Source organism: Homo sapiens, chromosome 14, assembly GCF_000001405.40.
Source record: "Homo sapiens chromosome 14, GRCh38.p14 Primary Assembly".
In the NCBI taxonomy this organism is placed as follows: domain Eukaryota; kingdom Metazoa; phylum Chordata; class Mammalia; order Primates; family Hominidae; genus Homo; species Homo sapiens.
The window spans coordinates 50991740-51015894 of record NC_000014.9 but is presented as its reverse complement, the minus strand read 5'-3'; the positions used below and the strand labels follow the sequence as shown (position 1 = coordinate 51015894).

The 24155-nt window shown below is 40.6% G+C and overlaps 1 protein-coding gene across 39 annotated transcripts in view; it reads left to right on the top strand.

The window, feature by feature from the left end:
• Window positions 1-24155, top strand: part of TRIM9 (tripartite motif containing 9) — a 119840-nt gene that overhangs the window by 79211 nt on the left and 16474 nt on the right. For 20 of the 39 annotated variants that reach the window (NR_170643.1, NR_170647.1, NR_170645.1 and 17 more), the window contains 4 exons: window positions 5401-5511; window positions 6662-6815; window positions 15055-15212; window positions 17707-17845. Coding sequence is in view for 26 of the 39 variants with exons in the window: in NM_001387374.1 (NP_001374303.1) it covers window positions 5401-5511; window positions 6662-6815; window positions 15055-15212; window positions 17707-17845 (562 nt within the window). In the remaining 13 variants the exon portion in view is untranslated. Of the gene's footprint in view, window positions 1-5400; window positions 5512-6661; window positions 6816-15054; window positions 15213-17706; window positions 19832-24155 lie in introns of those variants that run through there. The other 19 variants (XM_017020948.2, NM_001387372.1, NM_001387367.1 and 16 more) reach the window with 10 other exon arrangements.

The following is a 24155-nucleotide window of genomic DNA, read 5'->3' as shown; positions in this document are numbered from 1 at the left end:
AAGAATGTTAGTGTTTACTTAGGCTGCAGTTCATTAGTGATATCCCATCAAAACCTATGATGAGAGAGAGTACTATAGGAAAAAGCACTGGCCAGGTGTGGTGGCTCACGCCTGTAATCCCAATGCTTTGGGGGGCCAAGGCTGGAGGATCACTTGACACCAAGAGCAGCCTGGATGACATGGTGAAACCCCATCTCTACCAAAAATATACACATTAGCCAGGTGGGGTAGCATGTGCCTGTAGTCCCAGCTACCAGGGAGGCTGAGATGGGAAGATCACTTGAGCCCAGGAGGTTGAGGCTGTGGTAAACTGTGAGTGTGCCACCACACTCAGCCTGGGTGACAGAGGGAGACCCTATCTAAAAAAAAAAAAAAAAAAAAAAAAAAAAGAAAAGTAAAGAAAGAAAAAAGCATTTATTTAAAAAAGATAAAGAAAAATTTTAAAAGAACCACATGTAAAATGGAGAGGTAAATGGAGGTGGGGGAAGGTGTCAAGGTCATGGTTGGGTTAAGCATGAAATTCTCCTAATTAACCTCAGGTCTTGCTTCTGGTTGTGTCACATGAACTGCCTGGAGGAAGGAGATTGGTCTGTTAGTGATGGGAATGTAATTGTGAACAGGCAGGACAAAATTTTACCTGTGTATTGTGTACTCTCTCCTGAGTTGCTCTGTGCTACTGACAATGTCTGAGAATTCAAAGAGACACAACAGTCCTTCAGACTCTCCTTTAACCAGTAGATATCAGTGTCATATCCTGACCCAAGAAATGACCTTTATAAATTTGCCACTTAACAAAATAAAACTGTTCAAATGATCAATAGACACTTGCCATCCAGAACAGATGGTGGCTCCGCTGATAAAATTTTAAAAGCCTTCTCTGAAACTGTGGACTGCAGATTAATTCACTGTCCTGTGGGAGCTGGTTTAGGCTTTAGTGCAGATGAAAGCAGGAAGACTGTTCTCCTAGGCCCTGTTTGTGTCCTTCCTGCAACTTGCCCTGTCCCTGAGAAAAGGACCTCTTGAATCCAGCCCACTGCATACGTGATGCCAAGGGGTTCTCTGGCACATCAGAGCCAAAGCACGGAAATGTGTCATTCAAAGACAACAGTGAGGTGGCCTGGCTTCCAGGAATCATTTTCTATGAAAAACTCAATGTAGAAATAAATGATCACAAAATGTGGTATGAGTAACGCAAGTTGAAGAAGATAGCAAGTAAGAGAGTTGATAAAGACAACTAGAGAGAAAGTATTTATACTCTTAAAAGATCTGATTTAAGGTAATCTGCCTGATTTCTATAATGTGGGAAATCTTGCTAAATTAATTCAGAAACTCTAAGTTAATTACAGGGCACCCAAAATGCTTCTTTGGGAACCCCATAGTTTAATTTTTCGCAGTGATTTTATCACAAGCTATTGTGATCATTGTGAATGGTTGATTAAAATGTAAAAAAGGTGGACCAAAATCAACTGTAGCGAGAGTGAGGGATTGAGAGCCAGGAACTCAAGAATATTGAGTCCTTCCAAGGAGCTTGAGTCATAGAATGCAGGAGCCAATTGCAAACCCCTGCTGAAACTCCCCGGCTCTTTGGCAGTGCAACAATTAAGCTTCTTAAGAGTCAGCAGAGAGCCCCAGCACTCAGATAGCTCCTTCAGCACCCAATAAACCATGCTTGATAAGGAAATTTATAGAAGCAAATGTGGAATTTTATGAGGACTGAGTAATGTATTTATTTCAGTACATGAATGCATCATTGAACTGAATCCTCTGGAAAGGAAACACAACAATTCAGTCTATTTTATCTCAAAAGCAGACTGACTCTGGGTTATAGTGCTCAGATTTGATCTGTCCTTATTATTCGGACTTCCAGTACCTGTAGTCAAGGGCAGATGTCATTTGGATGATGAAATGATGACTGTGGAGGTGTCTGCTACCTGGCAGCACCAATACACTGGCTACCAAAATATAAAAATGTCATCCTGGAAACAAGTTAGTTCAGCCTCATACAGCAGAGGGGAATAGCATATTAGCTGTAGGTCACCTCTCTTTAATTTTTAAATGTTTTACTTGTGGGGTTTTCCTCCCCAAGAAATGGAAGCCTAACCTTCCTGTTATTTTATGAATAAAAAATAAAATAATTTGTATTCATTGAGCCCAGACCAACATATGGTGGTGGTGGTTGTCAGGCATACTGGATGTCAGAAGAAAATAAATCAACCAGTGAATTTTAAATTTGATCCCCCCAAAACTCACAAAAATAATCTTTCCATCAGAGTTGGTTCCTTTCACCAGTGACAATAAAGAGATTTTAAATCCTACATTTTATTTTCCTTTTTAATTATTATTAAAAGTTAAAAAGCAGTAACAAATCATCTATCAGAAAATTGGGCGATGTAAATAAACAATCTTGAAAAAGAAGGACAAATTTGAAGTTCTTACATTTCCTAACTTCAAACCTTATTATAAAGCGACAATAATCAAAATAGTGGATACTGGCATAAAGACAGATATATAGACCACTGTAATAGAATAGAATCCAGAAATAAACTCTTACATACTTGCTCAAATGATTTTTCACAAGGTGCTAAGACTATCCAATGGGAAAAAGGCAGTGTTTTTAATAAGTGGTGTGGGGAAAATTGGATATCCACATGCAAAAAAAAAAAAAAAATGAAGTTAGACACTTACCTAACTCCATATCCAAAAATGACCTCATAACAGATCAAAGAACTAAATACAAAACCTAAAACTATAAACTCCTGGGAGAGAACACAGGGGGAACCCTTTGGGACACTGGAATTGGCAATGATTTCTCAGATATGACACCAAAAGCAAAGGAAACAAAAGAAAATATAGGTAAGTTGGAAATAGTTGTGTCTCAAAGGACACAAGGAGTGAAAAGGCAACCCACCCAACAGTATGAAATATTTGAAAATCATATATCTGATAAGAGACTGATATCCAGAATATATAAAGAACTCCTACAACTCAACAACAAAAACACCCAATTTTAAAAATGGGCAAAGACCTGATTAGCAGCGAGGGTACACAAACAGCCGATAAACGTATGAAAAGATGCTCAGCATCACCAGTCATTAGGGAAATGCAAATTGAAACCACAATGAGATACCACTTTATACATTTACGATGGCTATATTTTTAAAAATCAGAAAATAATAAGTGTGGGCGAGGATGTGGAGAAATTGGAACCCTTGTGCATTGCTGTGGGAATGTAAAATGGTACAGCTGCCATGGAAAACAGTATGGTGATCCCTCAAAAAATTAAACATAGCATTGCCACATGATCCAGCAACTCCACTTCTGGGTATAATACCCCAAAGAAGTGAAAGCGGAGACTTACAAAGATATTTGTACACTCGTGTTTATAATCACTTTATTCACAGTAGCCAAAAGTATTCATCAATGGGTGAATGGATAAACAAAATGCGATATACATACATCAGAGTATTATTTGTTCTTAAGATGAAAATGTTGACACATGCTACAACATGGTTGAATCTCAAAGACATTATGCTAAGTGAAATAAGCCAGTCACAAAAGGACAAATATTATATGATTGCACTTATGTAAGAGGTTCTTAGCATAGTGAAATTCATAGAGAAAGGAAGTAGAATGGCGGTTGCCAGGGGCTGGGAGGAAGGGGAAATGGGGATGTTGTTTAATGGGTTTAGAGTTTCAATTTGGGAAGATGAAAAAGTTCTGGAGATGGATGGTGGTGATAGTTGCACAATAGTGTGAAAGTACTTAATGCCACGGAATTACACACTTGAAAATGGTTACAGTGGAAAATGTCATGCTGTGTATATTTTGCCACAATAACACATTAAGAACAAAAAAATCAGAAATAATGAATGAATGAGTTGTCAAAATATTAGATAGAAATTTAATGCCCAATAATAAGAGAACAGGAATGATTAAGCAAATTAAGATTACCCACTCAATGGGATATTTTTGTAACCATTGGTTGTGGCAACATGAAAACTGCCTGTGATACAGTATTAAGTTGGGGGAAAGGGAAGGTAAAATTGTCATATACAATGACTGCAACGATAAATAAGTCTGATTCCAGAGAAAAACTAAAAAGAAATGTCAAAGTACTTTAAAAATTTACACTAGAATGATAAGAGTATTTGCTTTTTCTCATCTATTTCCTGATTGTTTTGGAAAGTGGATGAAATAATATTTAATGGAAAATAAATTTATAACCAAAAATGAAAAGAAGGAACAAGGAACATTTTAAAATAATTATTATTAGATTCTCTTTTGGCTATTATCCATAAAATCCAAAACACTAGATGTATTTTAGGCTTTTGCAAAGTAGTATAAATATTGGGGATGTGAGTAGTTATGGTTCCTGGAAAACCCTTCTTCAATTTTACGCTTCAAAAACCATTCAAAGATAGCTGCAGTGTAGTCCCAGCTACTTGGAGACTGAGATAGGAGGATTACTTCAGCCCAGGAATTCAAGACCAGCTTGGGCAACATGGGAGGACCCCATCTTTGGAAATAAAAAAATATATAGGCATTCAAGATTTGGGTTACTGAGCAGAGGACACAAATGACAAATGCCTCTGAAGAAAAAAACTGTTCAAGGAATGTCATGCATTCATCACCAAGCACAGACAGCTTCTTAGAAGCAGAAACCGCTTGCTCAGAGAGATGCCTATTTAGGTTAAAGCAGACTCACAGCTTGGCAAATGAGCAGCCTTTACAACTGCTCTCCAAATGAGGCAGTGGTTTCAGTGGGTTATTCTTAAAACTTAATTCTGCATCCGTCTTCTTTCTTCAGCTTTTCATTAGCTCATTACCTCTCCCAAGCTCCACCTTGGCCTTCCAGGTCCCCCACCATCCACGCAAGGAAAAAGATGCAGAACAATTGACCGTGGGGCTGTGGGGAGGGGCAGGAAGGGAAAGGAACTGGGTTCAGATGGTGATGTCTGCTCTTTACAAGTAAAGTAGAGGGCACTGAAGGTGGACAGTGTCACCAAGCACAGCTGCAGCAGCATCTTGGGGAACTATAGCTCCTCCACAGACCCCCCAGCAAACATCGCTCAGCAGAGTCAGCTTCACAGAAAAGTGCAGGGCAAAGTGACCTTTGGAAGGTGTTCGTTGATGCACCAAGGTCACCAGATCTAGGGTTCCAAGATCTACCTGCCTTCCCTTCTGATGGGTCCTGTTACCAATTTCCTTTGATAATCTTATCCCATCTGTCTTCCAGAGCCCTTATCCCCAGCAGACACTGCCAGAAAATATTCTCATAAATTTAGTTCCATTCCAGAATGGAATGGATTCTGGTTTGAAGAAGCTTTCCAATGGTCCAGTTTGCTTCTCTTCTACCCTCTGCCATCTTGGACTGTTCTGTTGTTTTTTTTTTAATCCTAGGTGGTTCGAGATCAGATCTCTCACTGCACAGTGAAATTGCGCCAGACCACAGGTCTCATGGAGTACTGCTTGGAGGTGATTAAGGAAAATGATCCTAGTGGTTTTTTGCAGGTAAGAGTTAACTAGTTTCTGCGTCAGATTCTAAATGTCCCATAGGACATAGTCTAGGATGCTTAAGTCAGACTTCCAACAGCCCTGGGTGGGCCTGTGTCCCTCAATAACAGAACCTACCTCACACTGCAGTGTACATGGAAGTAAGTGCCGGCTAAATAAACTCCACTGACTTCCCGGAAGTCTCTGGCACCATGTACTACAAGTCTGAGAGGTCCATGGGCTTTTTTCTTTTTCTTTTTCTTTTTTTTTTCGCTTCTTTTTCTTCTTTTGTTTAATCATGAAAACATAATTCTCTGTAAGTTCTTTCAAAGTGGAGTTATTGCCTTGCCCAAGAATTCGGTCCTTATTCATTAATATCTCTTGGGCAGTTTTGTCAGATGTCTAAGTGTCTAAGTTTGTAAGATGTCTACCTTCTTGACACCTTCTGCTGGCCAGAAAGTCAGTGATTTCTCAAATGCAGAGATTTCTCATTCTTCAGTGTTAATTGTTTTAGTGAGATGCTATGGTGTAAGCTGGATTTTACTTAAGCTTTGATCCCAATGATAAGGAACCTTTTGTTAAGGAACATGTAGATCTCTTCCAAGTCACACTCTACTAAACTGGCTAAGAGTGACAGAAAGCGATTGAATATAAGAAATGAAAGAGCTTTCTACCAAAGAATACAGTGATAATCACATGAAGATGATGTGCTTAAAATGTGAGAAATTCCATGTGCACCCTCACTAAACTATTTTATGAAACTCATTTCCAAGTCTTTATAGGATACCCACACTTTAAATTAGAAGGGTTGAGCTATTGATTCTAATAGAAATTAACTAGTTTCCAACATACCATCCTTTAAAGTTGTTGGCATTTAGTAAATCTGTCATAAATAGCATGATCATATATTCAGATTTGTCTAATAAATCAGTTAACACCTGCTAATTATTTATAGTGCCCCCCAACTCACAAAAGTGTTCAGATTTGCTTGATGAATTGTGAGTCACCCTAGTCCTAATGGGGTGTTCCTCACCAACAGCACTGAGGCAGTCAGAGTATGAGTCCTCAAGGCAGTTTGGGAGTAATGCTCCTGGAGAGCCAAGGGGCAGTGTTGTGTTTCAAGTGTGGTGGTGTATTTCTTAGGCTGTGGTCCTCTTTATCTGATTAGATTTCTGACGCCCTCATAAGAAGAGTGCACCTGACTGAGGATCAGTGGGGTAAAGGCACACTCACTCCAAGGATGACCACGGACTTTGACTTGAGTCTGGACAACAGCCCTCTGCTGCAATCCATCCACCAGCTGGATTTCGTGCAAGTGAAAGGTATGTCCTTGCATCCCCCAAGTCAGAGAGCAACATCCTGAGTGGATGCTGGTGCTTGAAGCAGGATCAGTACCCCTTTGGCTAATGTAACAAGAATATGGAGTGGCTTCTAACTTATGTAATGAAAATGTATCCTTATAAATGTGTGACCTACCTTTCAGCAAGCTGGATAAATTCAGATCAACTCAATGCTTGCCTCTTTGAGAGTCTTAGAGATTTCAAGTGCTCAGCACCAGAGAACAGCTGACACAAAAAGAGGAAAGCAGAGAGAGAAAGAGATCATCACAATACATAAATAAAATCTTGGTACAGAAAGGAATCCAGAAATATTGATATAAATCAGGGGAGTCCAGAATTGAAATGATTGCTTCCACATGGATAGAGATAGTAAGCAAATGGTTGAGCATGGATCAGTGGGAATTTGAGAGGATCACAGTTGGCCTGCCAATACTGGCAGAAAAATGCAAGCCTGGAAGGAAAATGGAAATTTGATATAAACTTTAAAATTTGATTATGTGATTAAGGGATATGGCAAGGTCTCTTTGAGATTCTGGGTGGGGGCTGAAAATATTTTAAGGAAAACAACTCTTTCAAAGAAAAATAACAACTCAAGCCAACCATGCAACAACATTTTTATGGCAGTGTAATACCCATTTGAAAAATATTTCTTTTTAACTGTTTCTTTTGAAATACACAAGAAGTTACAAAAATAGTAAGAAGTTTTGTTCATCTTTTACCCAGCTTGCTTTGATGGTTACATCTTGTAGCTATAACATAATATCAAAACCAGGAAGTTGACACTTAACAGTGTGTGTGTGTATAGTTCCATGCCATCTTATCCTATGTACAGATTCCTATAATCACCACTGCATCGGGATACAGAATGAAGATCTCCCTCCTGCCACCCCTTTAAAGTCATAGCCCTCCCCTCCACCAACTCTAATCTCTGGAAACCCCTAATCTTTTCTCCATCTCTATAGTTTTGTCATTTGCTGATTTTTTAGATTGAAATTGATTTGCTCTTTGCAACTCCTGATTTAAGCATCCATATAGTAAATGACTCTTAGCATTCAGTGCTTTAAAAGGTTTGTTTCTTAAGAAAAATCTACCTGTATGCTTTTATCAAAGAGAGATTATATAAGGCGGTAAGTCTTAGGGCTGTCTACTTAGGGTCCACATGATGCAGTTAAATGCGTTCCTGTACTTGGTATGTGTACATCTCTCAGCCTTTTAATGGATTTTTGCTCTCTCTTATTTTGTCCTTTTTTTTTTTTTTTTTGGTTTAATATGTGTTGCTTTGGGAAGATGGCTTCAAAAATTTTTGAAATAGTGTATAGATTGGAAATAAGTATGCTTTGTTACAGTAAGAAAAATGTTTAGCATTTATTGAGTGCTAACCAAACCAGACATTCTCCAAAGTGTTCTACGTATAACTCATTTTATTCTCATAACCCTAGTAGACAGTTGAAGAAACTGGGGCACAGGAAGACTGGGTTACTTGCCTGAGCTCCCACAGCTAGTGAGTGGCAAGGCCAGGATTCAAAGTCAGGGAGCATGGCTAGAGAACCAACTCCTACAACTTCTAGTTTGTGCTGTAAAGCTGGTGCCACACTGAGCCACTTCTTCAGGGAATAAGTGAATTCATCTCTTAATATTAACAAATCTACATTTTTGTTGCAGAAATTCTTTCTTGCTGTTTAAAAAAATATTTTTAATACCAGTGTGGTAGCCTGTAAAATAAACCCATCCTTAATAAAATATAGAGCCCCAGATAAATCCCCCTGGATCAGCCTCTCTCTATTCCCAATTCTTTCAATGAGATAAAAATCACTGAAGGGTATGTCACAAGTAGCTTAAAGGAAAAAATATGTCACAAAAGAGCAATAGAAAGGCTTTTGGTGAAAGAGGAAAAAATGAGCTAACCCAATTAGCCTCAGTGAGGGGGCAGGAGGAGGAGGCAGTTAGAGGGTAAAAGCCTCAGGGTTTTGAAATGCTTTAATCATCTGTCAAAATCCTCTCCTCCCCCATTCATTGCCCTCCTGAGTCATGTCCATCTGCTCACGGTGGAGTCCAGGCCAGTTGGCAGGATGGTAGAGATTGAGCTGGAGTGAACAGGCCCTTCACTGGGTATGGGAACTGCGAGTTCATGCTCTCTGCATCACAGACCACATTTCTAAAGCACTGTCACTTGGCCACTTAGGACTGCGCACAAAAGTAAGAGGGACAAGGCTGTTTGTCCAGTCTGTTCAAGTCTGCACACACAGCAGAGAATACCAAGTATTCTCAGGGCCAAAACGCAGAACCCTCTCCCAGCACAAATCCATCTGAAACCACACAAAAAACAGAACAATGATTCATGAAGTTAACCTAACAGGCCATTTGGTATAATACTGGATTATAGTCTTCCATTTTCATTTTCTTTTTTAACACTTTGTCTAATTTAATTTACTTCTGATTATTATCACTCTGCCTGGTTAATTTATATGCTTTGCTTTGTGCTCATTGAGTTTAATTAATTCAGTGAGAGCCTAGCCTTCTTTAGAATCTGAATAATTTTCATCTGTCAGATGCTTGCGATGGAAAGAAAAAGCCAAAGGTCATGACACAATAGAACTTGATTGGCTGGAGTTCAGACTTCTATTGGCCTCTGTAATATCTGTTAATATATACACAACTCTTCCTGTTGTGGCGTTCATCTTCTTATTTTTTAAAGATATTCTTTGTCAGTTTAATAAACTGCCCTTTCACAACTTGTCAGTAAAAAATATGTCAAGAAACTGCACCTCAAAGAAAGAAGTAGCATTTGGAGTGGTATTAAAGTAATCCGTCCATTGTGAAACTAACAATACATGTAATCCAATATGTATTTTCTAATTGTGCTAAGTTGATTACAGGAGGAAGTTAAAATATTTTCAAATTTACTTAAAGTATGCATTTAAAGTTCTGACTCAAAATCATAACTAAAATATCTGTTTACTTCTTGACTCAGAATTTTATCAAACATCTCTGGTTTCAAAAGCTCATCATAGACGCCATTGTTGTTGCCGTTGTTTTTGTTGTTGTTGTTGATAAAAAAGAAAGTAGGTTTGCAGTTGGCTTTTACGTATTTTCACTCAGACCAGCTGCTATTCAGCAAGAATGCACTATCTAAAGTTTTACTCTCTTATTAGCTACGGATTTAACTGACCCATTCTGATTCCACACCACCCTCAAGCAATGGGATCAATCTGGAGAAGGCTGGTACCTTTTTTCAAATATCCCTAAATTGTAATGGCACGTTTTCTGGTTGTATTTTGATTAGAAAATCATCTTACCCTCTTTCCAGAAAACTGGAAGTGGCATTTGGTCTTTCAGACTTTTCTTTTATAGAAAACAACATATTAAGTTTTGTCTTCTACTTTTATTAGAGAGTAATTAAAAAAACATTTTCCACTTAATTCTAAGGTTGTATGATCAGCTCTTTTCCAGGTCATAGGAAGGAAATTTTAAGTCTTCTCCTAGTCAGCCAAGGGCTTTACTGTTTGGTTGAGAATAGATTTCAGATACCTACTTCCTCCCCCAATAAATATTAACCCAGAATTGTCTAAGTACACAAAGAATCCCAAGATTCATGAGTCATGGTACTGAAGTGAAATGCCAGTTTGTTCATTCTGAACCAGGACGAAACAATGACCTAACAGTTCACCAAGCCTTTTTAGCACATAGACCATTGGCTGTTAATCCCCTTAAGTGCCTCTACTCACCTAAGGGTGTATTTATTTTTATTGACTCAAGTTGAATATAAGAGCCCTGAGTATGCACCAAGGTCATGGGCAAGGACAGTGTGATCTGAATAGAGTCCCCTATAAATCATAGGGGGAAAGCTGCCAGAGGGTTAGCGGGGATGGAATGAGCACACACACTTGCATGTAATCTGTTAATGCTGATAGCCTGAAATGCATGGACTCAAAACCTGCGTTCAGGGTTATCTTTAACAGTGTACCGGTAATAGCTTTCCAGAAACAGCTTGTAGTTCTGCTAAAGTCTAAACTTTCCTCAGATGCCATTTGTATTGTTCAGCCACCATAAAGGGGAATGACAGTCTACAAATGAGCCTTCAGAGAAGATAACACAGTAAAATTGCATTCCCAACCACCATAGTTGTGAAGGTAGAATCTTTATTTGGGGAATCTTTATTGTTCACATTATAGGAAACAGAAAGAAACTTTGGGAATTAGACGTGCAGACTTTCCTCCAGTACACTATTTCTAAACACCGGACTGGAGAGGGGCAGTATGATGCAATGCTAAGCACACAGCCTCTGGAGCCAGGCTGCTTGGCTTCAGATGCCAGTCCTGCCACTTACTAGCTGTAAAACCTTACTGTGTTTCCATTTCCTCAGCTGCACAATAAAGATAATTGCAATACCTTCTTTATAGGATTATTGTGAAAATTAAATGAGTGAATACCTGTAAACCTCTCACAACACTCTCTGGCATTCAGTAAAGTGCTTGAAAGCATCCCTTATGATTAGTGTTCCCTGTTGAGGTTGGGAGCCCAGCTTCTCTTCTCACTTGTCCCTGCCACACTCCTGTGTACTTTCACAGAGGAATTCTGGATGGTTGTGAGTGTTCACAATCTGAAAGATCACTGAAAAAAAAAATTAAACAAATAAAATGTGAGATAGAATTTGAAATAGAGTGGCCTTAAAAAGGGAAGACATTTGAAAACATTGGTATAAGAAGCTGCTACTGGAAAATTTAATTTTGAACCACAGCTCCGCCAGACCTCTTCAAGGAAGTCAGTGAGAATAGCTTCCCCCTTGTATTTTAAGAGAAGAATTTTTAGCCTAAAGCTTGATTTTACAGGCTAAAAGAAGGATAAATGCTGGAACCCTGATCAGGTCAGGGGAAATTCATTCTTAAGGAAAAAACAAAAGCTGCCCCAGAATGATCAAGAAAGTGTAAAAATCAATATAGCTATGACAGCCCCAATAACAGGAGTTCCAGTAAAACACAATGCTCTTCCTTAGATTTCAGTCCAGAAACTGTAATGCTATCCTTTTCCAAACCATAAAAGATAGATTAATTGGAAAGTACTTTGGATTTCTAGTAGACCATTTATTTTGTGCCTAATGAAGTTAAATAGGATAACATAACACCCACTATAAAATATATTTTTCTAGAATGTCAGCCTGAGTTTCTGCTAATGAGGCTGTAATTTTGGCACATTCACCTTTTATATACAACATCACTGGGGGTAAATAAGGAAAACGGAAAACTAATTCTCAGCACATGGAGGAATAGATTCAGACAGATGCAAATATCTCTGGGTTAGTTCTTTCTTTTTTTTTTCCTCTCCACTCCCTTTGACTTTTTGTCCATTTGCTAATTTGTCTAAATCTGGGACAATATCAAGATCTGAAGATTATTGAGAGTCTAGCCTTTTTTTTTTATCCTTTTGGTCTTTTAAACTGTATCCACCAAGGGCTTATAAATTAAGTTCTGATGTTTTAATTACACATGACATCATGTATTTCAGTTACTTTTTTAATTATACCTATGTCTACACAGGTACATTTGAGTTTCTTATCAGAGACATTGTAAGCATTTGCATGATTTAAGTTGAAACCATCTGTGATCTTATTCTTTGATTTTTGTAATTGATGAAATGTAGACTTACCTGAAACATGAACAAAGGAAAAAAGAAAGACTAATATGGAGCTAATGAAATAAGAGCATAAGGAATTGTTTCATGGTGGGCGCTAACTAATAAGGACAGTTAAGAATAAATACCCCCCGGGGGGAATCATTCATGTCTCTACAAGCCCTTTGAAGAATGGTTTCCCAAAACTTGTTATATTTATCTTCCGTAGTAAATATGTTAAAAATGTATTTTAATAAAGAAAACAAATTTAAAATAAAAAGGAAAGTCCCTAGTAGTTAAAATGACCTAAAGTTAATCCTGCAATTACGACTCCTGGGTGATGCCTATTTATGTTTAGATACTCTCATTAGAAGGCATTATGTCTTCTGTGTCCTTCTCTTTCCAACCAGTCCTGTAGTTTATTTAGTGAGCAAGACAATGAATTTATTTCCTTTCCTCCAAATCTGGATTTCTGGGGCTTCTGAGCCTGCAGTAGCTGTAGCTCTTTGATAAGATTTCATCCAAACCCTGTGCCGTTGAAGCTTAAAACATGATTTCTTCTCCTAAACCAATTGCCTGCAGTTTTAACAGGCACTAATTTTGATTTAGCTATGTTTGATTTAGTAGCTCAGACATGGTTTTATTGTAATGTCTCACAGTGTTTTCTTAAGTATACGACAATTGACCGGCTTCACCTTCTCATTTCTTATGTTACAGTCACTGCTTTTGTTTTCTAGGTTATCTGCCATAGAACCTGTTTTCTAAACTGCTGTAAAATTAAACACTGTTTTGGTTGGGATGACTGACAAGGCATAGATTTAATTCAGTGCACAAGACACAGAGTCCAATTTTGGTACAGCATACCAGGTGTTCCATGATGAACATTTGTTCATCTAAATGTCCCTGGATATGGTCCAAGCTGTTCTCTCCTGTTATTAAAGTACTAAAGTAATAATAGTAATAAATCAATGTTTTGGTGCTGAAAAAAAATTTTTAAGCAGCTGGCAAAAACATGGTTCCCAGCCGGGCACGGTGGCTCATATCTCTAATCCCAGCACTTTGGGAGGCCGAGGCAGGTGGATCATGAGGTCAGTAGATCGAGACCATCTTGGCTAACACGGTGAAACCCCGTCTCTACTAAAAATACCAAAAAGAAAAAAAAAAAATCAGCCAGCCGTGGTGGCAGGGGCCTGTAGTCCCAGCTACTCGGGAGGCTGAGACAGGAGAATAGTACGAACCTGGGAGGCGGAGCTTGCAGTGAGCCGAGATCGTGCCACTGCACTCCAGCCTGGACGACAGAGCGAGACTGCGTCTCAAAAAAAAGAAAAACACACACACACACACACACAAAACCATGGTTCCCAACTACATATATTAAGTTTATATGTGAAGAACTGGGATTATTCAGTAACTAATATTTCTATGTGTGTCTGAAGGCTCAACTAATTTGCAGTTTAAGTACTAGAAAAGAGTCACAGTATAAAATGTGGAGGGTGGTGTTTTGACTCGTAACAGCATGACAGACTCTCACGTGGCTGCAAAGACATCTTGAGCCTCCTTGTCATGCTCCAGGCCCCTAGTCCACGCACCAGGCTCACAGTGGGTGTTCTATACCTGAAAATGAGTAGACTTGACCTAGTGCTGTTTTCGAGGTATAGCTACCTTGAGAGAATGACATCAGGTTCCTCGGAAGTTTTGAAACGGAGAGATCACTGTGATCTCACTTGGATCCAAATTTTCAAAAATCCACTGTTGTAGCTACTTACGTGCAGAAGACGTGGAGTAGAATCACTGGTTTTAAAAAAAAATGATGGAATATTGGAAATGTAGTGGTTTCAGAGCTATTTCTCAGAATAGGCAGTCTCTGGTTTATTAACTTGGGTTTCAATCTCAGAATAAGTTTTATGATAAAATTATTAGCACAGCGGCCGGGCGCGGTGGCTCACGCCTGTAATCCCAGCACTTTGGGAGGCAGAGGCGGGCGGATCACGAGGTCAGGAGATCAAGACCATCCTGGCTAACACAGTGAAACCCCGTCTCTACTAAAAATACAAAAAATTAGCCGGGCGTGGTGGCGGGCGCCTGTAGTCCCAGCTACTCCGGAGGCTGAGGCAGGAGAATGGTGTGAACCCGGGAGGCGGAGCTTGCAGTGAGCCGAGATTGTGCCGCTGCACTCCAACCTGGGCGACAGAGCGACACTCCATCTCAAAAAAAAAAAAAAAAAAATTATTAGCACAGCTTCAGGCACGTTATAAGTTAAATATGCTTTAGTGGGTTGGACTGGAACCCCAGCCTCCATGTAAAACATTTCCTTTAGGGATAATGTCTTCAATGTTCAAGGGGATGAGAACACAGTTCTGTGAATCTGCCTGTCTCCCCTCCAACAGCCACAATGAAGGTGGGAAGGGCCACTGTGCGCTTAGAAAATGGCCTCACAGCAAATCAGGAGCCAGTCTGACTCCTGGGGACTCTGTGAAGGATCCTGTTCAGTTCCCCTGTGCACCCCATTCTGGCTACTTCTAACCACGTGTTTATCAGGGGGATGCTTGTCATTCTAAGATACTGGAATATCTGCAGCTTAACAGAAGCCAGAGTTACACTAATTTCTGTTTAGCTTCCTCTCCAGTCCCAGCAACCCCTATCCTACAGCTGGAGGAATGTTGTACCCACAACAACAGCGCTACGTTGTCCTGGAAACAGCCACCTCTGTCCACGGTGCCCGCCGATGGATACATTCTGGAGCTGGATGATGGCAACGGTGGTCAATTCCGGGTCAGTAGACAGCCCACTACGTACTTGTTAACCCAAAGCAGTGACTCTGTCAGAGGACCTGCCAGGGAGTCTCAGGGCTGGCTTCCCCATCTCTCCTGGGGACAGGCCATCCTGGCAGGGCCTGCCTGCCCTTCACCTGAAGCCTGCTTTCTCCCTCTACCGTGAAGGTGGATGGAGCAGTCTCTGAAACTGCCCTACCCTTCTTATGAGACAGGACATGCAGTACTGGAGTCAGACTGCCTGCATTCAAGTTGGTCTCCTCCACCCTAGCTATGTGGACAATGCCTAATTATCACCCCTTTGAGTCTTCAGGTCCTCATTTATTAACTAGAGGGATGATAACAATAGCGTGAATCTCATGCTTTGTTGCTAAGAGTCCATTAGATAATTCATACAAAATTCTTAGCATGCTGCCTAGAACATAGCAAGCGTTCATTATTAGTTATTATTATTACCATCATTGCTTATTGCTAATAATATAATTAACCGTTGTCCAAGATTTATTTCTGCAATCCACAGCTTCTAATGTCTTTGATTGGCATTCCTCTTAATTGACATGGTCTCCTGTTATAGCTTCCCTATTCTAAGCAACCTTTCTAGCAAAGGTTTCCCCAGTTCTATAGTTTTGTTCTGGGCCTTTCACCAGATAGAACTGGTACCAGAAGATTGCTACCTTCCCAAGGTGAGGGAGCCCTATCCCCATTGAGAAGCTCATGCTGCCCTCTGAAGGCAGGACAGAATGGCCTCCTGGTAAGACACAGCTGTGGTACCACCAGATTGATGATTCATGTGCCACCACCTGCCGGCATGTGTCTGCTTCTCTCATACAGAGCTTCATTCTCATCCATCCTCTCCCTGCCACCCTACTTTCCATCCTCTCCACCCTAGTCTTGCCTGGAAGTTCTGATGCTTGGAGCTTCCTAAGGGAGCAGCCGTTCTGGGGACTGAGGCCAGTTCCTGCACTGATGAAGAGGAGACCCCTGTCTAAAAAAACCTCAGGCCCGTGAGGATGAGGCTTTCTTCTGGTCACCAATAGCCAAACCTGAGCCACTAGCTTTCAAGAGCAAAGCCTCTCAAGGCCCCCTTTTCCTGAATGTGTTTTTGATCCCCCACTAGGTTTAAGTACTTGAGAGCAGGGGCCTTGTCTTCTACAATTCTCCTCAAGGACAAAGGTTCTCTCTTTTGATAGAGAAGCCTTATTTACATATATGTTGATTTATTGGCATGATAAAATCTAATTTCTTTCTTTCCAAGATAAGGGCCTCAGGTTCCATTTCATGTCTTTTGCAGTGTGTGTGAGAGTGTGTGTGTGTGTGTTGTGTGTGTGTAAAATCCTATTTGTCAGTTTCTCATTCCTGACTTTGCCTTTTCAGTGCCTGTGTCATTTTCAGGGCCTTTCTTTTCCCTTTATTATCTTTTTTTTCTCCTGGGAAAGTAACTCTCCCGGTTTTCCCAATTCTTTAAATAATTATCTTATTTTGTCTTGACTTTTTCCTCTACTCAAAAGTGCGGTCCTCCCCCAGCAGCATTGGTTTCACCTGGGAACTTGTTAAAAATGCAAAATCGAGACCCTACCCCAGACACCTACTGGATCAGCAACTGCATTTTTACAAGATCCTCAGGTGATTCATATGCACGTAAAGTTTGAGAAGCACTGAATGAGAGGACATAATATTCCAATTTTTGTTATTCCAGCAGGAGTAATGAATTGATGGGTGATCCAAGACCGTGGTCTTCTTAGTATCCTACCAGAGAGTTGTCATATTAAGGCTGTGCTTTGAATGCAAATTATTTTTATTCATTACATCAGCATAATTTTGCAATGTGTACAGCTGAAGAGGGAGGCAAATGCCTAACCTATGCTAAAGACGCATTATGCTAGGATTTATTTTAAGCCTTTGAAATGTCATTCTTCCTCCTTTCCCTGTTTCCTCCCCCTTCCCTCTGTACTGTGATGAAAACCTATCCCCGGTGGCTTGGAGTGTAATCTCTGTGACAGTTCTGAAGTTATCAGCGGAGTTCTAAACATAGGATAGAGACCACCTTCCTGTTTTCATGGTTTCAAACATGTTTTTTACAAACCATACTGATGGATAAGGAGCTCAGTAGGGGCTATATACTGTACCAATCCCAAGTTAATAAGTGTAATCTGAACTATAAGCACTCAGTTTTATTTTTTTTAAGCCCTAGCTGCTAATAACTACCATTCATTAGGCTGCCTGGCCCATGCTAAATACAAGGCATGACGCTAATCTGCATATACAACATTAAGTAATCCTCACACCAACCTCATAAGGTGGATATTATTATCCCATTTTACAGATTAGGAAACTGAGGCTAAAAAGGTAAATTAAATGGCCCAATATCTCACAGGATTCAAATCCAGATTAGAATGACACCAGGGCTCTTGCTCCTAACCACTGAGCGACACTGCCTCCCTCGCCCCTCAGAAGGGGGCAGGCTAAGTGCTGTCCTGTTCTTTGCTGACTCTCAGGAGGTGTATGTGGGGAAGGAGACAATGTGCACTGTGGATGGTCTTCACTTCAACAGCACATACAACGCTCGGGTCAAGGCCTTCAACAAAACAGGAGTCAGCCCGTACAGCAAGACCCTGGTCCTCCAAACGTCTGAGGGTAAGGCCCTTCAGCAGTATCCCTCAGAGCGAGAACTGCGTGGCATCTAAAGTGGCTGGCAAGCCCGGAGGTAACCCCACCACTGCCCACATTCCTGAAGTGTTTCCATGACTTGCTCTGCATTCTGCACAGAGCCGCTGTTCCTCTCCTGCCTTTAGAGAGCCTATGGTATGTGGATGTGATCAAACCAAAGATTCCACATCGGCAGTTCCAATGGCTTGGGCCGGCGGCTTCCTTTGATAACAATCTAAATAAGCTGCAGTTGAAGAAGCTGAAAAATGAAGGCCTGAATGTGCCCCTGGTGTGTAAGACAAATGTATCTAGGCTCTAGAGCAGGCTCCCATTCTCCACCGATACACATCATGTGCCAGTTTTGCCCAGATGATTCTAAATTACTCTGTAGTACTTGCTTGTTCTGAGGGTGGGACCTAGGTTCTTTCCAGTCGTGGATTTGTATGACTGAATGTGTTTCAAATGGGTGGTGGGGTGCTAGAGCTGTTTAGAGAGGGCCTGTTGGCTGCTCCTGGCTTACCCACTTAGACTGCCTCCGTTTCATACCCAAAGCGGAGGCCGTCAGCACCAGGATTGAGACTTCCTGTGGGCACCAAACAGGAAGAGACCAGCAACTTCGCATTACCCGCCATTTTCATCTTTGCCAGTCCCTTCAGTCTTGGCTAGGCTACCGAGAGCCACCATACAAGGTTCATCTCTAGAGAATTTTTGCTTCTTAGCTATACTTTAAATATTTTGGTCATCAAAGACAAGTAATGTGTCTCAGATGAGAGGCTTGAATTTGATGGCCAGATATAACCTCTGAGGCTTTTAACATTTTCATTTTAAGAGTAAGCAAGACACATGAAATTAAACCTACAAGGAGGTATTTGTGGCTGGTGCCAAAGCATTCTGACACTTTGGGGTGTCATTTTAATCAAAGAAATCACCCCCCCACCTCACCGGGATTCTCCATAACTTCCCTCTGCAGAACTAATTATGTTGATTTTGTTCAAGTTCAAGATGTTAGCTAAAAGAACTATGGTGGTGTTTTTTTTCCCACTTCCCACAAACCTCAACATGTGCCAGTCACCCTAAAATGCTTCACATGGTTAAAAACAAGCACAATTTTGAATCCTACAGCAAGGATGAAAGGCCCCTAGCCGTGAAAACAGTGCTTTGGGGAGCAGTTGTCAGTCTAAGTGATGCTATTCCAAGAGAAGGATATGCTGAGGGAAAATGCCCACATGACCTGTTCCCATTTGGAGTACAGTGATGTGGTAGCTACAGCTTCCCCCAGAATTATCATTTTAGCACCTTCTCTCAGGGATGACCTATCAGTTTGAGAGCAGTTGCCTCTTTTCTCAAAATACCATACTAACTGCTAAAGCCCTCCAAGAGTCTTTCCTAGATGCAACGCAGAAGGCCCTTGCTGGTGATGGCCTCATTTCCCATGTGTGTACAAGGTGGTTTGATTGAAGAGTGAAGTGCATGCCTGCAGAGCAGAGAGAAATTTGTAGCAATGTTGCTAATATGTGTTATCAGATCTGCGGGAAAACTATTTCTATTCATAATACATCATGGGAATCATACTATTCTGGTAAAAATCAGTTATTAGCATAACAGCCTGAGCACTTATGTCTCTCGTTTCATCCTGCAGGAGGATGTAGCGCCTCAGTTTATTTTAATGTTCATAAGATTATGGTGTCTAATTTAATAAATTACAGGATTGGAACTGCGATCCTTGGTACCACAGTCACAGAACTGGGGGTCATTTTCTAGATGAAACAAACGGAACAAGTTCTCTTCCAACAAAGAAACTGTACTGTAGAAATTAATTTCCTCCATGAATTTTATATATTGTGTACAAATATAAGGTATGTATCTGAATACAAAGAAAAGCCTATCATCATATAGATATCAGTATTCTCTGTTACTGCACAGAAGTAATTTTCTCATGATGAAATAAAGTTCACACACATACTTTCTCCATAACTTTGGTTTGTTCTATTTGTTTCTCCCTCATTCTAATACATTCAGTGAGACAAGATTTAGAAAGCAAGAAAAAATATAGTGAATAGCTTATTTTAAAAAAAAAGATATGATCGATCTGTAACAATAGACAAAGCCTATAGGATCAAATAATTATCTCTTTTTTGTTTGTTTTTTAGAAATCAGTGAGAAAAATGCTATTAACAGAGTTTTGGTACATTCACTGCACTTATGCTTTATTAATCTTATTTCCTACAGTTTCCAGAAAGGTTTGCTTTAGAGATTTTTTTTTTCTTTGCTGGTATTGGGGGTGGTGGGGTGGTGCGTTCTGGCTTTCTAGTGTAACAAAATCTTTCACCTTCTTCTTAGCAAGAGTTAATCCCTTTTCAAACTTCAAAACAAAAATTCTGTATCACAGAAAGGTAAAATTTCATATGCGGTAACAAGTCTAACTTGTAATCACATGCATTTAGTCTGAGGTTTAAATTGCTCATCTTTTGTACTCTGTGAGCTTTCACAAAACCTTTTGCTGATCTAAAGGTAACGTTATGCAGGGGAGATCAAATGTCTACATTACTATAAATTTTGATTGGTTTTTTCTTCGAAAGCAAATTTATCTGTCTATTTATTGGGCAGTGCTTGATAAGTGACCACTGTGTGCTAGGCTGTGGGTATAGAGTGTTGAACAGACGTTATCCCTACTGTCCTGGAGTTTACAAGCTAGAAAAGGAAACAAGCCTTAGAGAAATAAACATATAAATAGTTCCATTTTTACACATTGTGATAAACACTGAAAAACAGGGAAAAGGGATTAGCAGGAAGATAAAATTTTTATAGGAGAATTAGGAAAGCAATAAAAATTAATTAAATTCAATGGAAATTATAAAGAACATGCTATTAAGAGAAAAGGAAAGGAGTCAGGTGCCGTAGCTCATGCCTGTAATCCCAGATACTTGGGAGGTTGAGACGGGAGGATCCTGTGAGCCCAGGAGTTTGAATCCTGCCTGGGCAACATAGTGAGACCCCATCTTAAAAAAAAGAGACAGAGAAAAGGAAAGGAGAATGCATTATTATATGAGTCCAAGTGTGGATAGTTCTCTGAAAGCAAAGTTCCTGGAGATGTATCAAAGACACCCATGGAAAAAACGCCAGTTGCACATCTAAACCAAATTACACTGACTTAAGATGAAATATAACTGTAAGCAATTAAGAATTTTAATGAAATTTTCAAATAAGGCCCCCAAGCCCCAAAACTTGGTCATGGGTATCTTTAAATTAATTCATCTAATAGCCATCATGGCTGTGCCAGTCTTTGAAACCATCTGCAAAAGAGTATCTGTTGAAAACATTACACAGCAAGGCCATCTTAATACACAGAGTTCTAAGGTTTATGCTATGTGTGAGACAAGCTGTACTCCTGTTTTAAAAAATCATACAGGGCTGAGAACAGGATAGGACATTTTCTGTTTATTTTTCTCTAGTTTCCCTCTTCCTATCTAAGTAGATTCTGCCTACAAAGTCTATTTAGGTAGGGGCTAGACATCTGACTTTGTAGGACAAAGTCTATCTATTTAGTCTATTTAGATAGACTTTGTGGCTACAAAGCCAGACATGTAGCATCTTCCAATCTCTTTCTGACCTTTCTACCTTCCTTTTTTTTGAGACAAGGTCACACTCTGTCACCCAGGCTGCAGTGCAGTGGCACAATCATAGCTCACTGCAGCCTCCTACACCTGGGCTCAAGGAATCCTCCCACCTCAGCCTCCTGAGTAGTTAGGACTACAGGCATGTGCCACCATGTCTGGCTAATTTTTTAAATTTTTTGTAGAGATGTGGTCTTGCTGTGTTGCCCAGGTTTGTCTCAAACTCCTGGCCTCAAGTGATCCTCCTCCCTTGGCCTCCCAAAGTACTGGGATGACAGGCATGAGCCACCATGTAGCCCCTACCTGCCTTTGATAAGGATCCTTGTGATTACCTTGAGCCCACCTGGATAATCCAGTATAATCCCCCCATCTCAAGATCCTTAATGTAATCACCTCTGCAGTGTCCCTTTTGCCATGGATAATAACATATTCACAGGTTCTGGGGATTCAGATGTGGACATTTTTAGATGGCCCATTATTCTTAGTACTATACTTTATGAGGAAGGTATTATTATTGTCATCTTTCTCTACTTATGGGAAACTGAGCTGCTGAGAGGTTAAGTATAATAATATGTCAGATCCAGGACTTTAAGCCGCCAATGCTCAGCACAGTCCGCTGTGGTGCTAACATTAGAAAAGTGCTATTTGCCCTCAACCAAATGGAAAGAAAGAGAGGGAAAACTATCCAAAGTCTGTCTGCAAGGTGACTGAAAACACCTTGTCAAAATGAAGCAGCGCTGTGTAGCTGCCTCATATGCTCATCCAGAAATCCCAGCCAGAAGGAGGACTTTACTACTTGCAGTCATGTTGGGCAGATCTCCTGAGGTCAAGAGTTCGAGACCAGCCTGACCAACATGGAGAAACCCTGTCTCTACTAAAAATACAAAATTAGCTGGGTGTGGTGGCGGGCGCCTGTAATCCCAGCTACTTGGGAGGCTGAGGCAGGAGAATCACTTGAACCTGGGAGGCAGAGGTTGCGGTGAGCTGAGATTGCACCATTCCACTCCAGCCTGGGCAACAAAAGTGAAACTCCATCTCAAAAAAAAAAAAAAGAGTCTTGTTGAAAAGAGTAGCGTTCCAGCTTTAAGAAGATGTGGGAGTGGCCATCATTTCCAGCATAATATCCAAACTCTTTATCAGGTCCTGTGCTCATTTTCATGTCTTTGCAGAAATTTCCTCCAGCTCCCTCCCATCCCAGGTGAGCAGGTCACCTAGAGAGGCCCTTCCCCCACTGGTACCAGTGGATACTCTTGGCTGGCAGTGACGAGATTTGCCCGGGAAGGAAAAGGAATATCAGAGCTACATCTCTGAGGCTCTGATACTACCAAATGAAAGTTACTACCAAATGAGGTCTGGCACTCAGAGCCCTGCTTGGGTTGACATCACAGAGCCATTTATTCACAGAAGCTTTCCAGCCCTGCCTGTCCTAACTGGGAGGGAAAATGGGGAGAAGGTAGTCAGTGATAATTAGAGAAAAGAGGGCTGGCTCTCAAGCCATCTACCCAGCATTTTTCAGGATTGTTTTATCTAATGACAAATAGGTTGGGATTCTTGAAACTACATCTTAAAAACTGCTTTCTAAAAAGTGGGCCTAGACAATGTTACTCATAAAGATTAAAATGTCTTTCTCCCCGATTAGACTCTCAGCATCACGCTGCCCCTTTCATTGTAGTAGCTCCTTCTTCTGTGCATTGAAGGAAACCACCCAGAAAAGATGTAATGGTGCAGACAAAATATAAACTTATGCTTCCATTTGTCTGAATGCAAATTGGCCTCAGATGCATCTGTCCAGAATCTTTTTGCAATTACTTATTTATTTATTCATTCATTCATTCATTCATTTATCTTTCCAGAGACAGAGTCTCACTCTGTCACCTAGCTGGAGTGCAGTGTCACGATCGTGGCTCACTGTAACCTTGACCTCCTGGGCTCAAGTGATCCTCCTGCCTCAGCCTCCCTAGTAACTGGCTCTATAGGCATGCCACCACACCTGGCTTTTTTTTTTTTCCGTAGAGACAGGGTCTCACTATGTTGCCCAGCCCGGTCTCAAACTCCCGGCCTCAAGCGATCCTCATGCCTTGACCTCCCAAAGTGCTGGGATTACAGGCATGAGCCACCGTGCCCAGCTCCTTTGCTCATATTTAATAGTGATTTTGGTCCAGCATAAGTACTGCACCCTGATGTGCTGAGACCTCCAGAAATGCTGTCACCTTGTGAGGAACAAAGAACCTGTCAGAAGAACAACTACAGGGAACACCTCAGCCCATCTAATCCCTCTAGCCAAAATTCCAAGGAGGACAGTGATGTGTGTGCCTTTCCAATCCCTAACCACTACATAAACTAAACACTCTATTTAAAGAAGAAAAGATGTATCCTTAACACAGTTAGGGTTTATTAGGTCCTCTACACAAACCTTGGTCCCCACTGAGACCACTGAAATGTGCCCTGGGGCCAGTGGCATAAGCTTTACCTTTTGTATATTTCTAGGTTACAAAGGAGCAGCAATAGTCTTGTCACCCCAAAATTTTATCCTCCAGGAATTGATCCTACCTGAGTCTCTATTGTATCCCTCCACAGCTGTGGTGTAACTTGGATATGTCCCTTAGCCTCTCTGGACTTCAGTTTTCTCATCTCTAAAACCATGGACTTACAGCTGAGGACCTCTGAGTCTTTACAATTAGTAC